This window comes from Homo sapiens, chromosome 1, assembly GCF_000001405.40.
Source record: "Homo sapiens chromosome 1, GRCh38.p14 Primary Assembly".
In the NCBI taxonomy this organism is placed as follows: Eukaryota; Metazoa; Chordata; class Mammalia; order Primates; family Hominidae; genus Homo; species Homo sapiens.
The window spans coordinates 145,574,934-145,600,091 of record NC_000001.11 but is presented as its reverse complement, the minus strand read 5'-3'; the positions used below and the strand labels follow the sequence as shown (position 1 = coordinate 145,600,091).

At 42.0% G+C, this 25,158-nt stretch overlaps 1 pseudogene across 1 annotated transcript in view; it reads left to right on the top strand.

Annotated features, from left to right (window-relative positions):
• The window catches only part of NBPF25P (NBPF member 25, pseudogene), a 35,514-nt pseudogene that overhangs the window by 7,767 nt on the left and 2,589 nt on the right, over window positions 1–25,158 (top strand). Inside the window, exons 3-17 of the transcript NR_104217.1 lie at window positions 5,507–5,641; window positions 6,168–6,250; window positions 8,997–9,206; window positions 11,053–11,155; window positions 11,991–12,205; window positions 13,259–13,331; window positions 13,796–14,001; window positions 15,285–15,336; window positions 19,239–19,402; window positions 20,445–20,496; window positions 21,137–21,309; window positions 22,029–22,080; window positions 22,699–22,871; window positions 23,581–23,632; window positions 24,273–24,445. The product of NR_104217.1 is annotated as an NBPF member 25, pseudogene (transcript). The remainder of the gene's footprint in view (window positions 1–5,506; window positions 5,642–6,167; window positions 6,251–8,996; window positions 9,207–11,052; window positions 11,156–11,990; window positions 12,206–13,258; window positions 13,332–13,795; window positions 14,002–15,284; window positions 15,337–19,238; window positions 19,403–20,444; window positions 20,497–21,136; window positions 21,310–22,028; window positions 22,081–22,698; window positions 22,872–23,580; window positions 23,633–24,272; window positions 24,446–25,158) is intronic.

The window sequence follows — 25,158 nt, the reverse complement described above, 5'->3', positions numbered from 1 at the left end:
CTCTTGGCTTGAGTGGGTTATGAAATAAATTTTTCTTTAAAAAAGTGTTTGCAGGTATTTTGAGCTTTTGCATAATTGAGAGTGCCTTTCAATTGGCTTCACACATGAATGAAATTTGGCTTGTTGTGGAGTTTTCAGCTGAAGTTTTTCATCTGCAATATTCTGTGGATAATCTTTTCTGAAATTTAATGTGTTATGCAGAAGTATGATGCCAGCCTGATTTTTTTTTCCTTTGTAAGTAACTTGATAAACACTCTTTTCATCCACAGTTGGCACTGGAAGGACAAGCGCCACACTGAGAGGGTTGGCTGAAACTGAGAGTTTTTGGTTCCTTATGCTCACTCCAGCTTCCCTTTTCCTTTTGAGCTATTATTCATCCCTATGACCAACAGTGGCCTCTGAGGGAGAGGAGGAATCTCTCTCCTTTACCCTCCAGACCATATAAACCCTTTTCTTAAATCTCTATCAAAGCTGAGTCTAAAGTGCATTTTTATTGTCTTTCCTCCAATAAGACTAGGCTGGGCGTGGTGGCTCCTGCCTGTAACCCCAACACTTTGGGAGGCTGAGGTGGGTGGATCACGAGGTCAGGAGTCTGAGACCAGCCTGGCCAACATAGTGAAACCCCGTCTCTGCTAAAAATACAAAAATTAGCCAGGCGTGGTGGCATGCGCCTGTAGTATCAGCTACTCTGGAGGCTGAGGCAGGAGAATTGCTTGAACTCGGGAGGTGGAGGTTGCAGTGAGCTGAGATTGTGTCACTGGACTCCAGCATGGGTGACAGAGCAAGACTGTCTCAAAAATAATAATAATAATAAGGCTATGCTAAATTACGGTAATCATATCACATATAATAATAATTATGAAGGTGATGATAGCTAATATTTGTGGAGTGCTTATTATGTGCCAGGTACTGTTTTAAGATCTTGACTTGTATTAACTCATTAACTCCCCAACTTAGTTCCTAGCTTGCCTCCATATGGCAGATGCCATTATCCCTTCCTTTTTTGGAAGTACTAGTGAGCATATTATGACTCTTTGGATTGCAGGCTCAAGAGAATGAGGCTCAGAGAAAGGAATTCCCTCTTGTTCCTGTTTAAGGCCCACCTTCCAAATTCTCTTTTCTCATCTTAGAATCTTTCTCTTTTCAGCAGTTGACATTTGAAATATCTATTATCTTCAAGGAAGCCTCACCTCCTATTGAGAGAGGTATGATCCTACTCTCTGTTCACAAGCAGACAAGAATGTGAAAACATAGTTGTTAAACAGTGGTACAAAAACCATCGCAGGGGTTGTTCCATTACATTTCTAAATTATAGAATTATGTCTTTATACTTGCAAATCAAAATTTATCTAGATTTTTCTGGTGCATGATGAGTCCCTTCCAATTTGCAATGTCAGGTCTTTTATCAGCTCAAGAAAATTTCCTTCTATTGTATCTTTAGAGCTTATGGTTCACTTGTCCTGACTTTTCTTCAGGAGCATTGATATCTATGTGTTGGATTTTTATTGTCTTTCCTCCATATCTGTTATTTCTTCTTGGATAATTTTCATCTCTTTGTCCTTTCTTTTGGCATTTGGGAGAATTTCTGATATTGATTCTTTACAAAATTGATTTGGTATTATGTATTGCTAATTCTGCTCTTTATTCTTAAATTCTGCTGTGGCTCTGTTTCTTAACTCTGCCAGCTCCTTTTACAATTCAATCTAGTACCTTATTATCTTGTGTTTCATCTATTGTTTTATAGAGTCCATGTTTTCTTTAACCTTTTTTTTGAGAGTACAAAACAGATTTTAAATAATTTTTATTTTTAAGTAAAGATTTTTTGAAATTATGCCATTCTTTTACTTTTGGTCTTAATTGTTTTCTTCTCATGTCTCTGAAACCTTCCAGAGACTCCAGGTTATTCTCTGTCTAGTTGTTATTTTCCCTATCTATTACTTATCTATAAAACTGAGAATCTCATCCATCCCAGGATATGTATAGGACCTGACTAGACACAATAAAATTATGTCAACAGAATTAATAAAAATGTAAAGAAGAATCCTCTTTGACTATTGGATAAGTAAATTTCTAAAAAATATTTAAAGGAAGACAAGTAATCTATAATTCAAGAAAAATATAGAGTTGTCCTAGAATTTAGTGCCTTAGGCTGAAGCAATTATGAAAAAAAAAAAAAAAAAACTGGAGAAAATTGACCTTCTGATGTGAGAGATCATAGAGAGATGAACAATTGTAATATCATAACGACATTCCCTGTCATAATGTCTGCCTTATAGATATCATTGAGTTTTTTAATTGTTAAGTTATATTCCACTGGCTCAGGTCACTTGTGTTTATCTAATCTCATCATTTTCTGTTGGTTACATTGATCTAACTCAATTTTGGAGGTACCTCATTGTTTCTTCCATCTACCGATCTGGCTAGTTTAAAGATGAAAACTGCAGCAGATGAGAAAGAAAAATACAACGTGAAAATTTGGCTGAATTAGAAACACTAAACAGTTTTCAGGAAAGCTGAGTGTCAGAGAGAAACAGACACTGGAGGAAAAGAAAAAAAGAGGACACAAAAACTGTCCTGGCCGAAGGGGTCATGACCACACATTATCCTCAGATGACGGCTTCTAATTTTTTCTTCTGCTTGATCAATTCTACAAAGACAAAAAAGTATAATAAAAAAGTTTTAAATTTCAAAGTTTGAAATGATATTAAAGTGGCACACAGTTCCCTTGGGAAAATCAAGTGAGAACCACAAACTCTGAGACTAATTCCAGCAAAAGTATGTAAATCAGTTTGATCTAATGGTACACGGTTAGCTTTGAAGGCCAAAAGGAACTGATATCTAATTCTTATTCCTCTCCTCACTAGTTTTGTGACTTAGGGAAATTTTGCAATCTTTCTGAGTTTGTTTTCTCATCAGGAGCAGGATAATACCTAAGTAACAGGATAGTTCATAGATTTTTTTTTTTTTTGAGATGGAGTCTCGCTCTGTCACCCAGGCTGGAGTGCAGTGGCTCAATCTCAGCTCACTGCAAGCTCTGCCTCCTGGGTTCATGCCATTCTCCTGCCTCAGCCTCCTGAGTAGCTGGGACTACAGGCGCCTGCCACCACACCCAGCTAATTTTTTGTATTTTTAGTAGAGATGGGGTTTCACCATGTTAGCCAGGATGGTCTCGATCTCCTGACCTCATGATCCACCCGCCTCGGCCTCCCAAAGTGCTGGGATTACAGGCGTGAGCCACCGCGTCCGGCCAGTTCATAGATTTAAATATGATTGCATGGCAGTGGGCATGAACCATAATTCTTAAGAATATATTTACACTGAGCTCTCCTTTATCCATTAAAATTGTAGACAAACAACAATTGACAAAGAATAGACAAAATGTTCTAACATAAATATTCTTCCTTTGTTTCTGGAAAGAAGTCACACATACAGTAAAAATAGAGAGAACCTAGTTCATTTTGAACAATCTTCCCCAAACCCTGAAACAGGTCTACTTTCTAACACCAGAGATGTCTTGAATGAGTCCCACCCCTGCAGTCCCCTCTCTCTGGAATAGACTGAGGAAGTTTGCTCCAGCCTTAGAACAGCATGGGCTGGCAAGCATTCTCAGAGAGGCTCTCGACTTCAACTCTAAAGGCCCTGAGGAATATGTGCAACTGGGTCGGGTTAAGGCCAAGCTGAATCACATGACCAGGGCTCTCACCGGCGCCAAAGTCAGTGGAAGGATATCAGTCCCCAGAGCTCTGTCACAGGCCATGGGATGCTCCATGGAGGGGTGGTGAGCATATGAATAACAATCAGGAGAAACATCGGTAATGGACAGGAGGCATAAATAAACAATGTCCGCCCTCCAGTAAAACCCAGGAAAGTTCTCATTCAAAAAACTATGTCTTGAAGAAAACATAGGTACAAATCTTTGTGACTTTGGATTAGACATTTTTTAAGTAGGCACAAACAACCCAAAAATAAATAGATAAATGGACTTCACTAAAATAAAAAACTTACATGCTTCAAAGGATAATGTCAAGGAAGAGAAGAGATAATCCACATAATGGGAGAACTATTTCCAAATTATATATTTGACATGGGTCTAGTACCTAGAGTATATAAGGAATTCATATAACTGAGCAATAAACGACAAACAACCAAATTTAACAATGGGAAAAAATCTGTGAGTAGAGGTTTCTCTAAAGCAAACACACAAATGGCCAAGAAGCACATGCAAAGATGTTCGATGTTTTTCATCATTAGGAAAATGTAAATTTAAATCAAAATGAGATACCACTTCACACCCACTAGTATGACTTAAGAAAAAATAAAGACAACACATGTTTGGAAAGTTATGGAGAATATGGAATTCTCATATATTACTAGTGGGAATGTAAAATGGCATAGCCACTGAAGTTGGTAAACAGTGTGTAAGTTCCTCAAAAAGTTAAACATAAAAGAAAGTTAAACATAAAGTGACATGATGCAGCAATTGCACTCCTAGGTTTATAACCAAGAAAATGAAAAACAGATGTTCACTCAAAAACATGTACAAAGCTGTTCATAGCAGCATTATTCATAATAGTTAAAAAGTGGAAACATCTTAAACCACCATCAGTTGATGAATAAACAAAATGTGGTATAATCATATGGTGGAATATCATTTGGCCATAAAAAAGTTGAAGTATTGATGCAGGCTAAAAAGGATGAAACTTGAGAAAAAAATGCTGAGAAGCAGATGCAAAATGCCACACTTTGTTATCCCATATAGAGGAAATGCCCAGAACAATTACATTTTTATATAGAGAAAGTAGATTAGTGGTTGTCAGAGACTGCAAGAAGGGGGGAATTGGAGAGTGACTGCCCATAGGTACAGGCATGCTTTTTGGCATTATGAAAATATTCTGGAATTAGGTAGTGGTGATGGTTGCAGAACTTTTGGAATATGGTAAAAGACACTGAAATATATGCTTAAAAATGGTGATTTTTGTGATATATGAATTATACTATAGAAATAATAACAGTAATAAAGCAAGGTGTCTTTCCCCATCTCCATGCCTTGTATTTTCATTAAAAAAAAAAAAAAAAGCATTTCAGGGCCAGGCTCAGTGGTTTACTCCTGTAATCCCAGCACTTTTGGAGGCCTAGGTGGGAGGATCGCTTGAGGCCAGAAGTTCAAAACCAGCCTGAGCAACATAGCAAGACCTTGTCTCCATGAGAAATAAAAAATTAGCCAGAAATGGTGATGTGTGCCTAGAGTTCCAACTACTTGGAAAGCTGAGGCAGGAGGATCGCTTGAGCCTAGGAGTTCAAGGTTGCAGTGATCTATAATCACCACTGCACTCCAGCCTGGGTGACAGAACAAGACCCTGTCTCAAAAAAAAAAAAAAAAAAAAAAAAAAAAACAAAAAAAAGGCATCTCACTTTAATAGTAAGAGGCCAGAATATGATGCTGGCAGCATGTTGTGAGGAAATGTATTAGATGAAAGAAGTTAAAGTCCAGTTCTCCTTTTTTCAGAAATGACTTATAGGGGAGAGAAACACGTACTTGGAAAGAATTGACCCAGCTGAATTGGAAAATGTGGGAAGGGGATGGGGAAGAGGCTGCTCCACCTGAGATCCGGCTCCAGGACTTACAGCAAGGGGAACTTGGGTAAGTTACAGACTGTCTATGCCTCAGTTTCTTCATCAGCAAAACAGAAAGAATCATCCCAAAAACTATAAGGTCGATGGTATCAGCGGGTCCCCAAACTGACTGCACATCTGAGTCATGTTAACAAACACATTCCAGGCCCCACCTGAGCCCTCTGAATCAGAATCCCTGCAAGGAGGACGATGAACTTGTATTTGCACTGACTTTCCCAGCTGTTTCTTACTCTGATCAACTTGGGGGTAGGACCCATTGAGCTGCATCACATCATTCCAAAGCCAAAACACAACAGCAGGACAAGAATATTTTCAAGGCAGTCTCTAAAGCAGAGGAGAAACTGTTGAGGGAACCTAGAAGTAAAGGAGATCTGGCTTGCTGGGCTCCATTTGAACTTTGAGTACAACAGAGACATGAGCCTTTTGGGACACATGCCTGAGGTAGTGACAGTCCAACTTTGGAAGAGTGGAAGCCCTAGTTCCAAATTCAAGCATGCTTTGAGTAGAAATTAAATTTACCTCTTTTTGCACAGCAACATGGCCAATCTTTCCTAAGCTGCTCAGCTTACAAGAAAAGGAATCATACTGCTAAGAATTCAAACGTCAGCAGTCATAGGTAAGTAAGGAAGTCTTATAAACTTATTCTAGCCAACTAACCAGAAACCCGAAATTTAGCAGGTTCTTTCACTTTCAGGACAGTTGTGTTCACTAGATCAGAGGCATTGAGACATGAAGAACAGACCCTTAAAAAGGGAAAGTGTTCCCTTCAGTTTGAGGACATCACTGGAACATTAGGGAAGTGGGAACACAGCTGCTCACTCTACAGTATGGGTTGCCTTTGTGTCTGGAATGTGTCTGACATCCTGATCCCTGTGCACATTTCAGGGAGCCTTGGGAGGACCCCGAATCACTGATGGAATTGGACAGTGCATGGAGATGGCTCAGCAGGATGAGGGTAAATGCAGGGGCAAGTCCAGGTCATACTGAGAGACAATGAGTGGAGCTGATGGGGACAAAGATAAAATCAAAAGTTTGTGCTTCATCTTCAAAAACTCAAGCTGATAACAAACTTGGCCTGATGAGAAATAATAAGTATTTTTCTATTTACATGAGAATTTAATCTCAAAACAGAAATCAGAAAAATATGAAGTCCAGGGCATAAAACCTAAACCATTGCTCATAGTTATTCTTTCTAAATAGAGCAAAGTGTAAAATCTTCTCCATAAGACATACATTGTGGTTATAAAAAGGCAAAAGTCTTAGTGAGAATCATTGGTATTCCATAGAAGAGTGAATTAAACACAGCCAAGGGAAGACCCACGTCTCATACTTCTCTTGTATATTCCAAAGTTCCAGGGAAATTCCAGGTGATAGAGGTTATTTCCCATACTGTTAAAGCAAGGTTTCAGACACTTCTGAATTTTGGTCCCAGTACTCTAGAAGGGCACACCTCTGTCCTGGAAAATAATACAGGAATGAATACTCTTCACGTGACTCATTCTGGTCATTCTTCCAGCATCACAAAAACCAAAAAATGGAAATATGGCCAAATACATGATTAGCTATCCCTCATCTTCAGGTTTCTTAATTGTTACTTACGGATAATAGCATTACCTTAAGGATTATGATGAAGATACAATGTCCAAATATAAACACAGTTTTGAGCAAAATGCCTTGTATGAATTGGTCGATGAATAATTACTAAATATGTGAATATTTACTGGATTCTATGGATCCTATGAATAATTACTGAATAATTATTGTGATTGCTTTTATTGGCAGTGCTGAAAACTCATCCCTTTGTGACCTCAAGTAACCCATGTCACTTTGTGAACCTGCAGTTTTTTCATTTAGAAACTTGACAGATTTTCATTCTGACACAGAATGTCAGGTCTTCCAGACCCTAGAAAATACATTGACTTAAAGCTTTTGATACATCTCAAAGCATCAACCCACTGCACCCTCAACTCAGGCAAGCCCAGCAGGCAATCTTAGGAGACCTGGGCTACAGAACAGTCTCTCAAGTTCCAGGCTCACAAAACCTAGGTGGGGATGAAAGCTGAGAAAGCAAAGAGGTGGCTCAGGGGATCACTCTTTCCTACTTGTTCCTCTCACCTCAAACTCACCTTCTACTGCACAGCAACACTGAGGATCACCAACCAACCCTGACCATAACCTTGATCTTGCCATGTTCTGTTAGTGGAATGCAACCCAAAATCAATGGTGTTAGGTCATCTCAACAAAATATATATCGAACCATATTCCATAAGAACTGCCCGTGGCCCTGTTCTTTTCAGTATATGGGAAAACAAAATAGAAACAGCAAAATAGCATCAGGTTTACAAAACTTCCCAAGATAGATGGTCACACATTTTTTCAGGAGACCTCTATATAAATGACTTTGATCACTTGATACCTTGAAAAGAGGTCTTGTGGCACTAGAATGACATCTATAAGTGACAAGTATAAAATGTAGTGCTCAGTGACATTAAAAAACAAATCAACCCACATAGAGGAAGAGCTTTGGATGTAGGGATGTCAAACTGGTCTAGAATGTAATGAAAACCCAAGAAGGTGCCCCAGTAAGAAAGAAGAAATCAATCTAACAATGGGATGCAGCAGCAAGAATACTGAGACAGGAAAGAAAACATTTTAAAAAAATGAATTATTCATTCACTTTCTAGTGGATACAGAAAAAACTGCAGAAGACCCAGAGGATATCAGGGCAGGCTAAAAGTTTGATATCTTACACCTGTGGAAAAGCCTTAAGCTCTGTTTTAACTGAGAGCAGGTGGGGTGACTTCATGACTACCATTAAGAAAATATAACCTGTTGGGAAACTGTTTCTGCCTTGATGATGTTGTACAGACAAGAGATAAACAGTGAGGAATATGCTTAGATGTAGTGGGAAAGACACGGGTCTGTGGCATTGTCACAAGGGTACACGAATACTGAGAGTGAATGCTGAAGGAATGATCCCCATTGGTGGTGACCCTCAGGTGAGACTAGGGTGCCTGTGTTTCAGCAAAGCCTGGGCAATTGGAATGCAGGGCTCCTAAGATTCCATGACACCCCCACCTTCTAATTCTGTTATTGCAACTGCAGACGGTTACCTGGCACGCTGGCCACAATCTACCTCACTCTTATCAGAGTCTGAGCTACTGGCAGTGCTTTCAGCTCTGAGTTGAGGCACCTCGAACCTTGTTTTTGTGGTGAAGGATCCTAAAGTGCTGTGGGGAGTGATCACATTTTTCACAACAATAAGTTAAGAATTTCAGTTACTGACATCCCTCAGTCCTGATTAAACCGATTTGATTTCACCAGTTTTTAACCCATCATATGTTTGGGTTTCTTCTCCCCAGTCCCTGACTCCACCTCTTCTGCCACAAACATCAGCATGGTGGTATCAGCCGGCCCTTGGTCCAGCGAGAAGGCAGAGATGAACATTCTAGAAATCAACGAGAAATTGCGCCCCCAGCTGGCAGAGAACAAACAGCAGTTCAGAAACCTCAAAGAGAAATGTTTTGTAACTCAACTGGCCGGCTTCCTGGCCAACCGACAGAAGAAATACAGTAAGATCTATAGGCTCACCATCATGAAAGTGATGAATGATGTCCTGTCTTCTCTCTGAGACACTAAATGCTCTCTCCATCAAAAAGAATTTCATCCTTCCTGTACTTCTAGGAAAACAGAAATGGGTATTTTAACATTTTGTTAAAGTTGGAAGACAGAGGTACCAAAGTATTTAGCAACTTTCCATGTTTGCAATCAGATGGGGGTGGGACTAGAGGTAAACTGCCATTTATTGATTTCTGACACAGGCACAGAATGACCTATTTTCTCCAAGAGGCTCAATCATGTTTTCAAGAATCCTCTCTGTACCTTATAAGATCCTGCAGACAAATAACATGTAGTCTGTTGTTCTAAATGTCTAGGACTAGTGAAATTTTATTCAGTTCAAGTTTCTGTTGAGGCCCAACAGGCAAAGCTGTGTTCTAGTGACTCTGAGGGGAACTTGGTGATAGTACCCAGTACCTGCTCTGAGGGGCTTCAAGAGGAGTCTGCTCCTAATAGAACCTGTGCTATCTATAAGTGACAGCATCAAGAGCAGGGAGTAGGGGCCGTGCAATGTGGCTCACTCCTGTAATCTCAGCACTTTGGGAGGCTGAGGCGGGCAGAGCACGAGGTCAGGAGTTTGAGACTAGCCTGGGCAACATGGAGAAACCCCATCTCCACTAAAAATACAAAAAGTAGATGGGCGTCATGGCGGGCAACTGTAATCACCACTAATCGGGAGGCTGAGGCAGAAGAATCCTTTGAACCCAGCAGGCAGATGTTGCAGTGAGCCAAGATTGCACTATTGCACTCCAGCATGGGTGACAGGGCAAGACTCATCAAAAAACAAACAAACAAAAAGATAAATAAAACAAAAATAAAAATAAAAAGCAGAGAGTACCTTGGTGAGAGTGAAGTCCTGCTTCCTGGTGCACAGGCTCTTGTTCCTAAAGAGGAAGAAAGATCACACCCGAGAATGTGTGGAAGCAGCAGTGCAGTGTGCAAAGCAGGGACCCTCAGCCTGTCTCCTGGGCTCCATCCAAGTTGCTTGTCTTGTCTGTCCCTCAGTTTCCTCATCTGTTCAGAGGGTACTACAATAATACCTACCTCTGTAAATTGCTGCAATGAATTACATGAGGTATTTCCTGTCAATCTCCTTGAACATTAATTGGCACAGTGTAAACACTATCTATTAGTTCTTCATTCTGATGTTTCTAAATTAACACAAACTAATCTTATGCTGTTTCTAAATTAACACAACGAATCTAAATCTTAATGCTGCCTCTCATACTAATAAAGAATTTGGGCATATTTCCTTCATGGCCTTATGGTCTTATGTCTCACACTTTATGCTTCAGATATGATTCTTAAAATCATAACTGAAAATATGATTTAAAAATCAAAGATTTTTAAAATCTTTCACATACTTGTCCTTGAAATTCCCAGTAAAAGGGAAACCATCAGTCCCATAGTCCTAGGGGCCTTCCCGACTGTACAAGAAATCACTACTTCATGCCCCAGTGCAGTGTTTTAGAGGAGAGGCTGCAAGTCTTGGGAAAGTGGCCCCGAATTCAGAGTCAGACCTCAGGGGCTGAGAATTCTGACTCCACTTCGTTGTGGTTGAATCATCTTGTCAACTTCCTTGATGTGCCCTTGAGGTTCTCTTTCTTCATCTCTAAATTTTGGAGGATCAGATGCCAGAAAGTCAGGAGACTGAAGAGTAAAGATGTGGAAATCCCTGTCTAGACCCTGGTACTGGGGAGAGTTTTGTCCTTGGGATGGACCTGGCTCCTGTCCTGTAGGGAATGACCACAGCAGCATGTCCAGCCTTGCACTGATGCAGGCGTGTCTGTCTTTTCTCAGAATATGAAGAGTGCAAAGACCTCATAAAATCTATGCTGAGGAATGAGCGACAGTTCAAGGAGGAGATGCTTGCAGAGCAGCTCAAGCAAGCTGAGGAGCTTAGGTGAGGGGACCCCATGGGGGCAGGCAGGGGGGCAGGTGTGTAAATCTCTGAAGTACAGTAGCTCGGTGGGGAGACGTAAGAGCTAAGCTGGGTCAGGAGAAGGGCAGGAATTGCCATGGCAGGTTTGCTACACACAAATATTTATCAAACAGAGAAGAAGGATAATAAAAATGTATGGGTTGCAGTTGTTTCTCAGAGCCTTGTTTTCTCTTTTTCAAACAAGTAATTGTTGATGTGAAATTTACATAACACAAAATTAACCAAAGGAGTGTGAACCACACAGCAGCATTCAGTATACTCAAAATGGTGTGCCATCACCACCCCACTTACCCTTAGTGAGAATCACCTCCTGACTGACTGAGGCTTCTCATTGTTTCACTCAATCAATGTTGCCTTCTCGACCCTGTCATTCTTTTCTTCTTTCGTCTTTTCAATTCGCCCCATCTGCATCTGGCCTCATTTCTGTACATGGCTTTGTATCTAGTGGCCGCAAGATGCACTATGTGTATTTTCACATGGAAATGTCCATGGCCAGAGTGAGGAACTGAAAGGATGTCTTTTTGAAACAGAATTAGGAAGACACCTACTTTTGTTTACAGAAGAGAAAGATGAATGGAACATCATCGAGGATCTTGCAGGAGCCCTCTCTGATACAGGGAAAGCCTGTAGACCATTTTCTGTTCTTTCTCTTGGCCACAGACATTCCTTTCAACATGTGCTGACCTTCTGCTTGAAGGTCTCCTTGGGAACGTTGTCTCAGAAATCTCTGTTGCAATATTTGAACGGATCACTCAACGCTTTTCACTGTTAAATTTTCTCTACCGTCTCACCTTAGGCAATATAAAGTCCTGGTTCACTCTCAGGAATGAGAGCTGACCCAGTTAAGGGAGAAGTTACGGGAAGGGAGAGATGCCTCCCGCTCATTGAATCAGCATCTCCAGGCCCTCCTCACTCCGGATGAGCCAGAAAAGTCCCAGGGGCAGGACCTCCAAGAACAGCTGGCTGAGGGGTGTAGACTGGCACAGCACCTTGTCCAAAAGCTCAGCCCAGGTAAGGTGGCCATAGGCCCTGATGACCCAAAACCCCAGGCTTATGAGAGGCTCCAGACCTCCATACTTTCACAATGACAGTTGTATCAGTGGGGTTTTTTTCTACTACACATATGTAGCCATGACATGATCAGGACTTCCTGGGTAAGAACAGAAATGGGAAACCCATGGGTTTGGAGATCACAGTATTGCAAGTGTCCCTCCTTCCTTGATGGAAGGTGGTCTTTGGAGCAAGAGGCAGCATCTATCTAGTTTTAAAGGACAGGAAGGAGGCTGTGATGGGAGGGCGCTTGTTGGAGTGAAAAGAGCTCTGGGCTAAGAATGAAGGTTCCCAGGCTGTCTTTTTGGCAATGTTCTTAGTAAGTGTCGGTGAGTGAGTGATTTATCTTTCCAGAGTTTCTCTCTCTCCATCTGCAAAGGCAGACAAATTGTCTCTTGCAAGGGTCTGAAGCATCCAAATATGGGAACACTTATGAATGCTTTTCAAAATGAGATGAAGCCCCTCTCCATGTGGTGTTGGAGAAGGCACTTGATGTGGGGTCATTTGGTGGTAGGAAGTGCTTCAGACTGGAGCACTCCCCATGGATAGAATGTCCCTGAATAACACAGCAGAAGCCACATGGAGGGCCTGTGCAGTCTCATGACGCATAGAGGACTGTGGGACAAGTTTGTCCTCTCCTAAGAGAAAGAATGAGGTTTGAAATGCGAACTGTGACAGGACACCAAGCCTGTTCCTGGGAATCAGATCTGTGGCAGGATTGGGGAGACAGCTGCCAAAGTCCAGAGAGAGGCTGCACAAGCCTCCAGTGATATGGGAAGCAAAAGGTCTTTTCAATATTTGGCCACATCTTGATGGTGGCCTTCCAGATCAGAAACGCATTGCCCGATGGACCAGGAAACCATGCCAGGGCATTCTGTTAAAGATAAAACATGAGAGTTTTCAGTTGAACGGTGACCCATGCCTAGGTGTTCATGTCTCTGTTGCACATTGGGCTGACTGTGCTTGCAGACTGTGAAGTGGGAAATATCTGAATGAACACTTCTGTATTTACAGAAAATGATAACGATGACGATGAAGATGTTCAAGTTGAGGTGGCTGAGAAAGTGCAGAAATCGTCTGCCCCCAGGTAACACTGAATACTCAGGAACAATTAATGGATGGTAACATATGAAGAATATCTAGGAGGCACACCCTCTCTGGCATGTATGATGGGCCAAAAACCCGCATTCGCTTGGCCACAGTATGTGAAATATAACCCAGCTTAGACACAGGGTGCAGCAGCTGTCATGTTTCTCTATGTGTGCCGAGTGTCATGTCTGCACCGTACAGGGATAGCTGAGTCTTCATCCTCCTCAGCTCCTATCTGTCCAGTGCAATGAACAGCAGCTGCTCTCTTCCTCTCTGGTTCCCATGGCAGCCATGCTCTGTTGCAGAGAGAACAGGATTGCATGTTCCCTCTTAATGGGAACCTCCATTTTGCTTTCTGGGACCACTCTCTTAATGCCGCCTGTCAAAGCCAGCTAGGACTCCCTGGGGTCCAATCCCTCTGTGTTTAATCTTCTGTCATCTCTGTCCCACCTGGCTCATCAGGGAGATGCAGAAGGCTGAAGAAAAGGAAGTCCCTGAGGACTCACTGGAGGAATGTGCCATCACTTGTTCAAATAGCCATGGCCCTTATGACTCCAACCAGCCACATAGGAAAACCAAAATCACATTTGAGGAAGACAAAGTCGACTCAACTCTCATTGGCTCATCCCCTCATGTTGAATGGGAGGATGCTGTACACATTATCCCAGGTAGCCTCTGTTTTCCTTGTGTCTCATACCTCTCTCTAGGCTGAGGAAGATAAACTCTGAAGACAGGCTCTATAAACACAAATTCATTTGAATAAAAAACTGTGATGGGTTTCTAAACAGATATCAGGGAGTTTGTTTGTCCTTCTCAGCTAATGTCATGCCTTTGTCTGCCAGTCCCCAGTATCAAGTTACTCGACCCCAGGCAAGTGTGACAATCTCATAGTCACCTGAGTGCAGGAGGTGCACAGGCAGTATCTCTCAGGGCTCCTAGCTTCGATTCAGTATCTCTTGTCATCTGTGATTAAGTCATCTGTCCCTGAACAATGTCCATGGAGTTTCTATGCCTGTTTAAGGAAGCTGGCAGCCTTGCCTTTGTATTTGGAAATATTGTTCCCCAGGCTTCACTGCTCTCAGCTTTCATCTGGATCTCCTTCAAGTCAGCTTGCTTAGCTGCACAGTCACCCTGAAATCAGGACGGAAACTTTTCTTCTTTACTTTGCTGATATATTTCCATAAAGCAAGGCTGGACCCTGGTTCTCCACCCTGTCAATGCAATGGCTGATCCAATGTTTCTTTGTAGCATCGTAGATTTTTTTTTTTTTTTTTTTGCGATGGAGTCCTGCTCTGTCACCTAGGCTGGAGTGCAGTGGCACCATCTTGGCTTGGTGCAACCTCTGCCTCCCAGATTCAAGTGATTCTCCTGCCTCAGCCTCCTGAGTTGCTGGGACCACAGGTGCACAACATCACATCTGGCTAATTTTTGTATTTTTAGTAGAGACAGGGTTTCCCCATATTGGCCAGGGTAGTCCTGAACTCATGACCTCAAATGATTCACCTGTCTTGGCCTCCCAAATCACAGATTCTTTTTAAAGCAAGAGTTGTTCAAATTTATCTATCAGTCGTGTTCCATGTATAGAGCCTCTAAACATTTAATGTCCATGTTACCTGGTGATATAAGTCCGTATTGCAGCAACACTCTTAGAAAATTGTTTGACCAATTTTTGGAGATTTTTTTGGGGAAAAAATTTTGTTTAACTTTGACTCAGGCAGGGAATATGGCATTATGGTCTACACGTAGAGGGAGATTTTGGCCTGTGGGTCTGGAAAGCAGGGTCATCTAATTCTCACCAAAGTTAATCTAGGGCACCCTAGAATATTCCTGTCAGAATCCTTATTCTTGCACTGAGAATAGTTATGTCCTTGTGCTATGACTGGACAGTGATTTGTTCATATGTGAAGTATGAATTGCTTAATGTGACCTGCTTCTCTGAATTTATTTACAGAAAATGAAAGTGATGATGAGGAAGAGGAAGAAAAAGGGCCAGTGTCTCCCAGGTAATGTTGTGGAATTGTTGGCTGTTAATTCAGTAGTGACATCTGGAGATTGTAGATTTAGGGAAAATGAGGAAGTGATGAATAGAACTATTTCTTCCATTCACCCAGCTACAAATTGTGCTGATTTACAATGTTGTATGTTATTTGTGGCACTTGTATTGGTTTTAATTTCATAGTCCTCTCAAGATAGGAACTTGCCATCAGATGAGCCAGGTGAGCTAGCCAAACAGGGTTTTCTTGTTGATCTTTTCAAAAAACCAGCCCTGGATTCATTGATTTTTTGAAGGGTTTTTTGTGTCTCTATCTCCTTTAGTTCTGCTCTGATCTTAGTTACTTCTTGTCTTCTGCTAGCTTTTGAATTTGTTTGCTTTGCTTCTCTAGTTGTTTTAATTGTGATGTTAGGATGTAAATTTTAGATCTTTTCTGCTTTCTCTTGTGGGCATTTAGTGCTATAATTTTCTCTCTACACATTGCTTTAAATGTGTCCCAGAGATTCTGGTATGTTTCTTTGTTCTCATTGGTTTCAAAGAACATCTTTATTTCTGCCTTCATTTTGTTATTTTCCCAGTAGTCATTCAGGAGCAGGTTGTTGAGTTTCCATGTAGTTGTGCGGTTTTGAGTGAGTTTCTTAATCCTGAGTTCTAATTTGATTGCACTGTGGTCTGACAGTTTGTTGTGATTTCCATTCTTTTACATTTGCTGACGAGTGCTTTACCTCCAACTATGTGGTCAATTTTGGAATAAGTGTGATGTGATGCTGAGAAGAATGTATATTCTGTTGATTTGGGGTGGAGAGTTCTGTAGATGTCTTTTAGGTCTGCTTGGTGGAGAGCTGAGTTCAAGTCCTGGATATCCTTGTTAAGCTTCTGTCTCATTGATCTGTCTAATATTGACAGTGGGGTGTTAAAGTCTCCCATTATGATTGTGTGGAGTCTAAATCTCTTTGTAGGTCTCTCAGGACTTGCTTTATGAATCTGGGTGCTCCTGTATAGGGTGCATATATATTTAGGATAGTTAACTCTTCTTGTTGAATTGATCCCTTTACCATTATGTAGTGGCCTTCTTTGTCTCTTTTGATATATGTTGGTTTAAAGTCTGTTTTATCAGAGACTAGGATTGCAACCGCTGCATTTTTTTGCTTTCCATTTGCTTGGTAGATCTTCCTCCATCCCTTTATTTTGAGCCTATGTGTGTCTCTGCATGTGAGATGGGTTTTCTGAGTACAGCACACTGATGGGTCTTGACTCTTTATCCAATTTGCCATTCTGGGTTTTTTAACTGGGGCACTTAGCCCCTTTACATTTAAGGTTAATATGGTTATGTGTGAATTTGATCCTGTCGTTATGATGTTAGCTGGTTATTTCGCCCGTTAGTTGATGCAGTTTCTTCCTAGCGTCAATGGTCTTTACAGTTTGGCATGTTTTTGCAGTGGCTGGTACCGGTTGTTCCTTTCCATGTTTAGTGCTTCCTTTAGGAGCTCTTTTTGGGCAGGCCTGGTGGTGACAAAATCTCTCAGCATTTGCTTCTCTGTAAAGGATTTATTTCTCCTTCACTTATGAAGCTTTGTTTGGCTGGATATGAAATTCTGGGTTGAAAATTCTTTTCTTTAAGAATGTTGAAGGTGCTGGAGAGGATGTGGAGAAATAGGAACACTTTTACACCATTGGTGGGACTGTAAACTAGTTCAACGATTGTAGAAGGCAGTGTGGCAATTCCTCAGGGATCTAGAACTAGAAATACCATTTGACCCAGCCATCCCACTACTGGGTGTATACCCAAAGGATTATAAATCATGCTGCTGTAAAGACACATGCACACATATGTTTATTGTGGCACTATTCACAATAGCAAAGACTTGGAACCAAGCCAAATATCCAGCAATGATAGACTGGATAAAGAAAATGTGGCACATATACACCATGGAATACTATGCAGCTATAAAAAATGATGAGTTCATGTCCTTTGTAGGGACATGGATGAAGCTGGAAACTATCATTCTCAGCAAACTATTGCAAGGACAAAAAACCAAATACCGCATGTTCTTATTCACAGGTGGGAATTGAACAATGAGAACACATGGACACAGGAAGGGGAACATCACACACTGGGGCCTGTTGTAGGGTGGGGGGAGGGAGGAGGGGTAGCATTAGGAGATATACCTAATGTTAAATGATGAGTTAATGGGTGAAGCACACCAATGTGGACATGTATACATATGTAACTAACCTGCACGTTGTGCACATGTACCCTAAGACTTAAAGTATTAAAAATACATATATATATATATATACATACACACAGAAAATAATAAAGGAAAACTATACATATGGAAAAAAAAAGAATGTTGAATATTGCTCCCACTCTCTTCTGGCTTGTAGGGTTTGTGCCAAGAGATCTGCTGCTAGTCTGATGGGCTTCCCTTTGTGGGTAATCCGACCTTTCTCTCTGGCTGCCCTTAGCATTTTTTCCGTCATTTCAACCTTGGTGAATCTGATAATTATGTGTCCTGGGGTTGCTCTTCTCGAGGAGTATCTTTATGGTGTTCTCTGTGTTTCCTGAATTTGAATGTTGGCCTTCCTTGCTAGGTTGGGGAAGTCCTCCTGGATAATATCCTGAAGAATGTTTCCCAGCTTGGTTCCATTCTCCCCGTCACTTTCAGTACACCAATCAAACGTAGATTTGGTCTTTCCACATAGTCCCATATTTATTGGAGGCTTGTTCATTTCTTTTTACTCTTTTTTCTCTAAACTTCTCTTCTCGCTTCATTTCACTAATTTGATCTTGAATCACTGATACCGTTTCTTGCACTTGATCGAATTGGCTACTGAAGCTTGTGCATGCATCACGTAGTTCTCGTGCCATGGTTTTCAGCTCCATCAGGTCATTTAAGGTCTTCTCTACACTGTTCATTCTGGTTAGCCATTCGTCTAATCTTTTTTCAAGGTTTTTAGCTTCCTTGCGATGAGTTCGCACATCCTCCTTTAGCTCAGAGAAGTTTGTTATTACCGACTTTCTGAAGCCTACTTCTGTCAGCTCATCAAAGTCATTCTCCATCCTGCTTTGTTCCATTGCTGGCGAGGAGCTGCGATCCTTTGGAGGAGAAGGGATGTCAGGTTTTTGGAATTTTCAGCTTTTGTGCTCTGGTTTCTCCCCACCTTTGTGGTTTTATCTACCCTTGGTCTTTGATGATGGTGACCTACAGATGGGGTTTTGGGGTGGATGTCTTTTTTGTTGATGTTGATGCTATTCCTTTCTGTGTGTTAGTTTTCCTTCTAACAGTCAGGTCCCTCAGCTTCAGGTCTGTTGGAGTTTGCTGGAAGTCCACTCCAGACCCTCAAACAGTGATTTCTTGGTGTCGCCTATTCTCTCCCATGTGTTTAAATCCAGGGAGAGATGTATATATGCTTTCTTCCCATTTGTTGGTAGAATGTTGGCTAGTATTTTTGCAAGAAAAGAAATTGAAAAAGTAAATATATTATATCAAAATATTGGGAAAATGGGGCCCTTAATACACAAGATCTGTGTCTGCACTGCGTCAAGAACTCTCTTCACTTGAATGCTGCATGTAAAATTCAACCCAATTTATGCAAAGTAGTTGAAGCCCTGTGTCAGTTCTCTGTGCTGCAAGTCTTGATGGTAGTTTACAGGGAGAGTCTGGGTGCCCTGAGTTGGCTCATCTGTGGCAAAAGTACTGAGCACATGCTGCCCATTTTTGCTGTGTCCCCAGAGCAGTCACCCTCCACCCTGCATTTAGAAGGATAGTTTTATTTCTCTTGAAGGAAAAATGCCTTTGGTTTCTGTGACCACTCCATTCTGTCTCCCATCAGATCATCTGGGAGGTTTTGTTGTCTAATCTCTGTTGGTTAAATCTTCTATCATCCCTGTCCTGCCTGGCTCATCAGGAATCTGCAGGAGTCTGAAGAGGAGGAAGTCCCCCAAGAGTCCTGGGATGAAGGTTATTCGACTCTCTCAATTCCTCCTGAAATGTTGGCCTCGTACAAGTCTTACAGCAGCACATTTCACTCATTAGAGGAACAGCAAGTCTGCATGGCTGTTGACATAGGCAGTGAGTACTCCATTGTGAAGGTGATAAAGCTCCAGTTCATGGCCCAGGTAGACCCCATAATCTTTGTGCCTTGTGCCCCTGGTTGGGCTGAGAGTTGCCATCACTGTGGGCTGAACCTATATATCAATGTAGATTTCAATCACTCTAGAGTCGAGTCTGAAGCACAGGCATGGGGTGGGTCAGTGAGCTTTGCTCTCTTCCTAGTCTCAGGCCATGCCTGTGCCAACCTGGACTGACTGTCACGACATTGAACTCAAGGCAGGTGTGGCAAACTCACACCAAACTATGCAGCACATGCCCAGGAGTTGTCTGTCAGCTCAGCTCATCTGAATTAAATGTCTCTTGCCAGCTACAAAATTCCTTATGAGTTTTGTTCCCAAAGCATGTCTGTGTGGTTCTTTACCTGCCCAAGGCCAGTGTCACCCTTGTCTACCTCTCAGTGAAAGATGTGATCCAGGTTTCACTGAATTTATCCCCATTTTCTGTGTCTTCTAAGTTCGCTTGTTTTAGCTCATCTGTCCGTCATGTTCCTGGTATGTTTTCTAGATAAATGGCTGACTTTTCACCCACAAAAGCCATAATAGCTGATGCTTCTGTGTAGAACCAAGTTTCATTTTGACTCAAGAGCTGGTACATTGCACCCCTTCATCAAATCTCTGTGTCCACAATCTCATAAACTATCAAATTCTGGGTATTTGATGAGAGAAAGCTTAATATTGAAGTATCTCTCCTATGAGGTGTTAGAACTATTTGCCTACAATTTATTGGGGAAGAAATTGCTCATTTGTGTACACAAACCTAGGACAGAGCACATAGGGAAGATAACATTCCAAAACAGGGTAATTTTGCCCAAGGCTCATGAAAGAACTCAAGCCAGTTTTCTCAAGACTTGACCTCAGGCCTACTGGAATATTTCTCTCAAAGTCTCCTGTTCTCACACTGACAAGACTGATGTCCCTGTGTTAGGATTGGACAGAGGAATGTTTCCGTGTGCAAGGAAGAACTGCTTAATGTAAGAGGCCCCATCTGAATTTATTTGCAGGATATCGGTGGGATCAAGTGAAAAAGGAGGACCAAGAGGCAACAGGTCCGAGGCGAGTCTGAGAAATTGTGGACAGTTAATTTGATGTTGACACCTGGAGATGCCAAGTCCAGGGAAAACAGTACATGCTGAAAATAATAATTTCATCTTGACAGACAAGTCTGAATTATGCCTACTAACATTGCTTTTTGGTTCTCATTAGAGTACATGTTTAGGTTTCCATTTCTTCCTACCCTTATCATTTACTAACCTAGTGAAGGTTGACCATACCTCAAAAGCTGTATTCTCATGGTGACTGCAGGGAAACTTGAGCAAATTTTATGCAAAATTATTGAGGCCATGCTTTTCATGATCACTGTTCACTGTGTGTCCTGAGAGCACAAATACAGAGTGTCCTTTGAATCCCTGATCAGTGTGTCACCTGGCCAATTCACTGAGCCCACTCTGTGTGTGTGTGTGTGTGTGTGTGTGTGTGTGTGTGTGTATGTGTGTATGTGTGTGTGTCTTTCTCTTTCATCCTTTTCTACCTGGCCCTAGTCTATCCCAACATAAAGGCAATAATTTGTTACCTCATTAATGGATCTGTCCTTTTTCTTTTCAAACTCTTCCTTATGTTAGCCATGTAATCTAGCTGGGGCTGTGTGGTTTCTGATTCCCCCTGGCTTATTCTTTACTTTTTCCCACTTTTCCAGGCTCAGCAGGGAGCTGCTGGATGAGAAAGAGCCTGAAGTCTTGCAGGACTCACTGGATAGATGTTATTCAACTCCTTCAGGTTGTCTTGAACTGACTGACTCATGCCAGCCCTACAGAAGTGCCTTTTACGTATTGGAGCAACAGCGTGTTGGCTTGGCTGTTGACATGGATGGTGAGTACCTTTCTATGAAGGTGATAAGGATCCACTGAGTCTTCTGGTTAGGGTCATATTCCTACTGCAAGTGGCCCTTACTGAGCTGAGAGATGTCATTGTCACAGGGAGGACCTATAGGCACATGTAGGTTGAATGAAACTCTAGTTCCACTTGGAAGCCCAGACAAGGGATGGGTCAGTGAGCAGGGCTCTCTTCCTAGTCTCAGGCCATGCCTGTGGCGCCCTAATCCTACTCTCAAGATGTTGAATCTGGGCAGATGTGACAAATTCACACAACTCTGATTTCGTCTCAATTTTGTAGATCCTGTAGATTTCATCCTTCACTCTAATTTCAGCGTCTAAAATCCTCGCTACCATGAACAATCTGAGTATTTGATGAGACAGGGCTGAATAGTGCAGTTTTTCTCCTAGCAACTATTTGGGGGCATTTGCTTTAAATCAATTGGAAAAATATGGCATAGCCATTTGCACAAACTTGGGACAAATGATATTGGGATAACGATCTACCAGAATAGGGAATTTTACCCACAGTTTCTGGGACAAAAACCAAGGAATCTCTATGGTGATCAGCCTTCAGGCCTCCTGAAGAATATCTCTCACAGTGTCCTATTCTCATGCTGAGGAGCCTGAAGTCCCTGTGTGAGGATTAGACAGTGGATTGTTATGTGTGTAGGAGAACCAGCTTAATATGTCTGTCCATGTCTGAACTTATTGCAGAAATTGAAAAGTACCAAGAAGTGGAAGAAGACCAAGACCCATCATGCCCCAGGTAACTTTGAGCAATTACGGATGCTTAATTCTGTGTTGACACCTGGAGATGCCAGGTCCAGGGAAAACAAGAGTGTGTTCAATTTCATGTTTTCAACGAAGGTTGAATTACTCCTACTGACATTGCTGTTGGTTTTCATTGCAGTAGATGTTTAGGTTTCCATTTCTTCCTCCCCTTATCATTTACTAACTTACTATAGGTTGACCATACCTCAAAGGCTGTATGGCAACTGCATGGAATCTTGAGCAAGTTTATGGAAAATTATTGAGCCCACTGTTTTCATGATCACTGTTCGCTGTGTGTCCCGAGGGCACTAACTCAGAGTGTCCTTTGACCCCTTCATCAGTGTGTCACCCGGCCAACTCGCTGAGCTCACTTTCTCCTCTCTCTCTCTCTCTCTCTCTCTCTCTCTCTCTCTCCCTCTCCGTGTCTTTCTCTTTCATTCTTTTCTACCTGGCCCTGGTCTATCCCAACATAAAGGCAATAATTCATTACCTCATTAATGGATCTGTCCTTTTTCTTTTTAAACAGTTCCTTATGTTAGCCATGAAATCTAGCTGGGGCTGGTTGGTTTCTGTTTCCCCCTGGCTTATTCTTTACTTTTTCCTACTTTTCCAGGCTCAGCAGGGAGCTGCTGGATGAGAAAGAGCCTGAAGTCTTGCAGGACTCACTGGATAGATGTCATTCGACTCCTTCAGGTTATCTTGAACTGCCTGACTTAGGCCAGCCCTACAGCAGTGCTGTTTACTCATTGGAGGAACAGTACCTTGGCTTGGCTCTTGACATGGACAGTGAGTACCTTACTATGAAGGTGATAAGCCTCCACCTGGTCTTCCAGATAGGGGTGATATTCCTGTTCCAAGTGGCCCTTACTGACCCGAGAGATGTCATTGCCGCAGGCAGGACCTATGGGCGCATATAGGTTGTAATGAAACTGTAGTCTCAGCTGGAAGCCTAGACATGAAATGGGTCAGTGAGCAAGGCTCTATTCCTAGTCTCCAGCCATGCCTGTGGCAACCTGAGCCCGCTCTCAGCACATTGGACCCAGGGAGATGTAAAAAAATCACAGAACTATGATTTGGACTCAAGGGTTTGTAGATTTCCTCCTTCATTCTAATTTCAGTGTCTAAAATTCTTGCATCCGTGAACGAGCTGGGCATTTGATGAGACAGGGCTGAATACTGCAGTTTTCCTCCTAGAAATCATCTGGGGCATTTTCTTTGAACTGATGGGAACAATAAGGCATAACTGTTTGCACAAACTTGGGATAAATGATTTTGGGATAACGATCTAGCAGAATAGGGATATTTCACCCTTGGTTCTGAGATGCAAACCAAAGAATATCATGACCAGCTTTCAGGCCTCCTGAAGTATATCTCTCACATTGTCCTGTTCTCATGCTGAGGAGCCTGAGATCCCTGTGTGGGGATTAGACAGTGGACTGTTATGGGTGTAGGTGAATTGGCATATTTTGTCTGTCCCTGTCTGAATGTATTGCAGGAATTAAAAAGGACCAAGAAGAGGAAGAAGACCAAGGCCCACCATGCCCCAGGTAACTGAACAATTGTGAACAGCTACTTCTGTGTTGACATCTGGAGACTCCTGGTTCAGGGAAAACAGAGCGGGCTGACATTATCGATTACATCTTTTCAACCAAGCCTGAATTATTCCTACTAACATTGCTGTTGGTTTTCATTGCAGTAGATATTTAGCTTTCCATTTCTTCCTCCCCTTATCATTTACTAACCTACTGTAGGTGGACCAGTCTTCAAAAACTGTATTCTCATGGCGACTGCATGGAAACTTGAGCACATTTTATGGAAAATTATTGAGCACAGTCTTTTCATGATCACTGTATGCTGTGTGTCCTGAGGGCACTAACTCAGAGTGTCCTGTTACTCCCTCATCAGTGTGTCACCTGGACAATTCACTGAGCTCGTTCTCTCTCTCTCTCTCTCTCTCTCTCAGTGTGTGTGTGTGTGTTTGTGTGTGTGTGTGTCTGTCTTTCTCTTTCATTCTTTTCCATTTGGCCCTGTTCTGTCCCAACATGAAGGCAATAATTTGTTACCTCATTAATGGATCTATCCTTTTAGTTTTTTAACCACTTCCTTATGCTACCCATGAAACCTAGTTGGGGCTCTGTCGTGTCTGATTTCCCATGGCTTATTCTTTACTTTTTCCTCCTTTTCCAGGCTCAGCAGGGAGCTGCTGGAGGTAGTAGAGCCTGAAGTCTTGCAGGACTCACTGGATAGATGTTATTCAACTCCTTCCAGTTGTCTTGAACAGCCTGACTCCTGCCAGCCCTATGGAAGTTCCTTTTATGCATTGGAGGAAAAACATGTTGGCTTTTCTCTTGACGTGGGAGGTGAGTACGTTTCTATGAAGGTGATAAGGATCCACTGAGTCTTCCATATAAAGATCATATTCCTGCTGCAAGTGGCCATTACTGAGCTGAGAGATGTCATTGCTGCAGTGAGGACCTATAGGCACATGTAGGTTGAATGAAACTCTAGTTCTACCTGGAAGCCCAGACATGGGATGGGTCAGTGAGCATGGCTCTCTTCCTAGTCTCAGGCCATGCCTGTGGCACTCTGATTCTACTCTCATGACATTGGACCTGGGCAGATGTGACAAATTCAGAGAACTATGATTTTGACTCAAGGGTTTGTAGATTTCCTTTTTCACTCTAATTTCAGTGTCTGAAGTCCTCACAACCATGAACAATCTGAGTATTTGATGAGACAGGGCTAAATGTTGCAGTTTTTCTCCTAGAAATCATTTGAGGTTATTTGCTTTAAACTGATTGGAAAAATATGGCATAACTGTTTGCACAAACTTGGGACAAATGATATTGGGATAACGATCTACTAGAATAGGGACATTTTACCCACAGTTTCTGGGAGAAAAACCGAGTAATTTCTATCACGACCAGCCTTTGGGCCTCCTGAAATATATCTCTCACAGTGTCCTATGCTTATGCTGAGGAGCCTGAGGTCCCTGTGTGAGGATTAGACAGTGGATTGTTATGTGTGTAGGGGAATCAGCTTAATGTGTCTGTCCATGCCTGAATTTATTGTA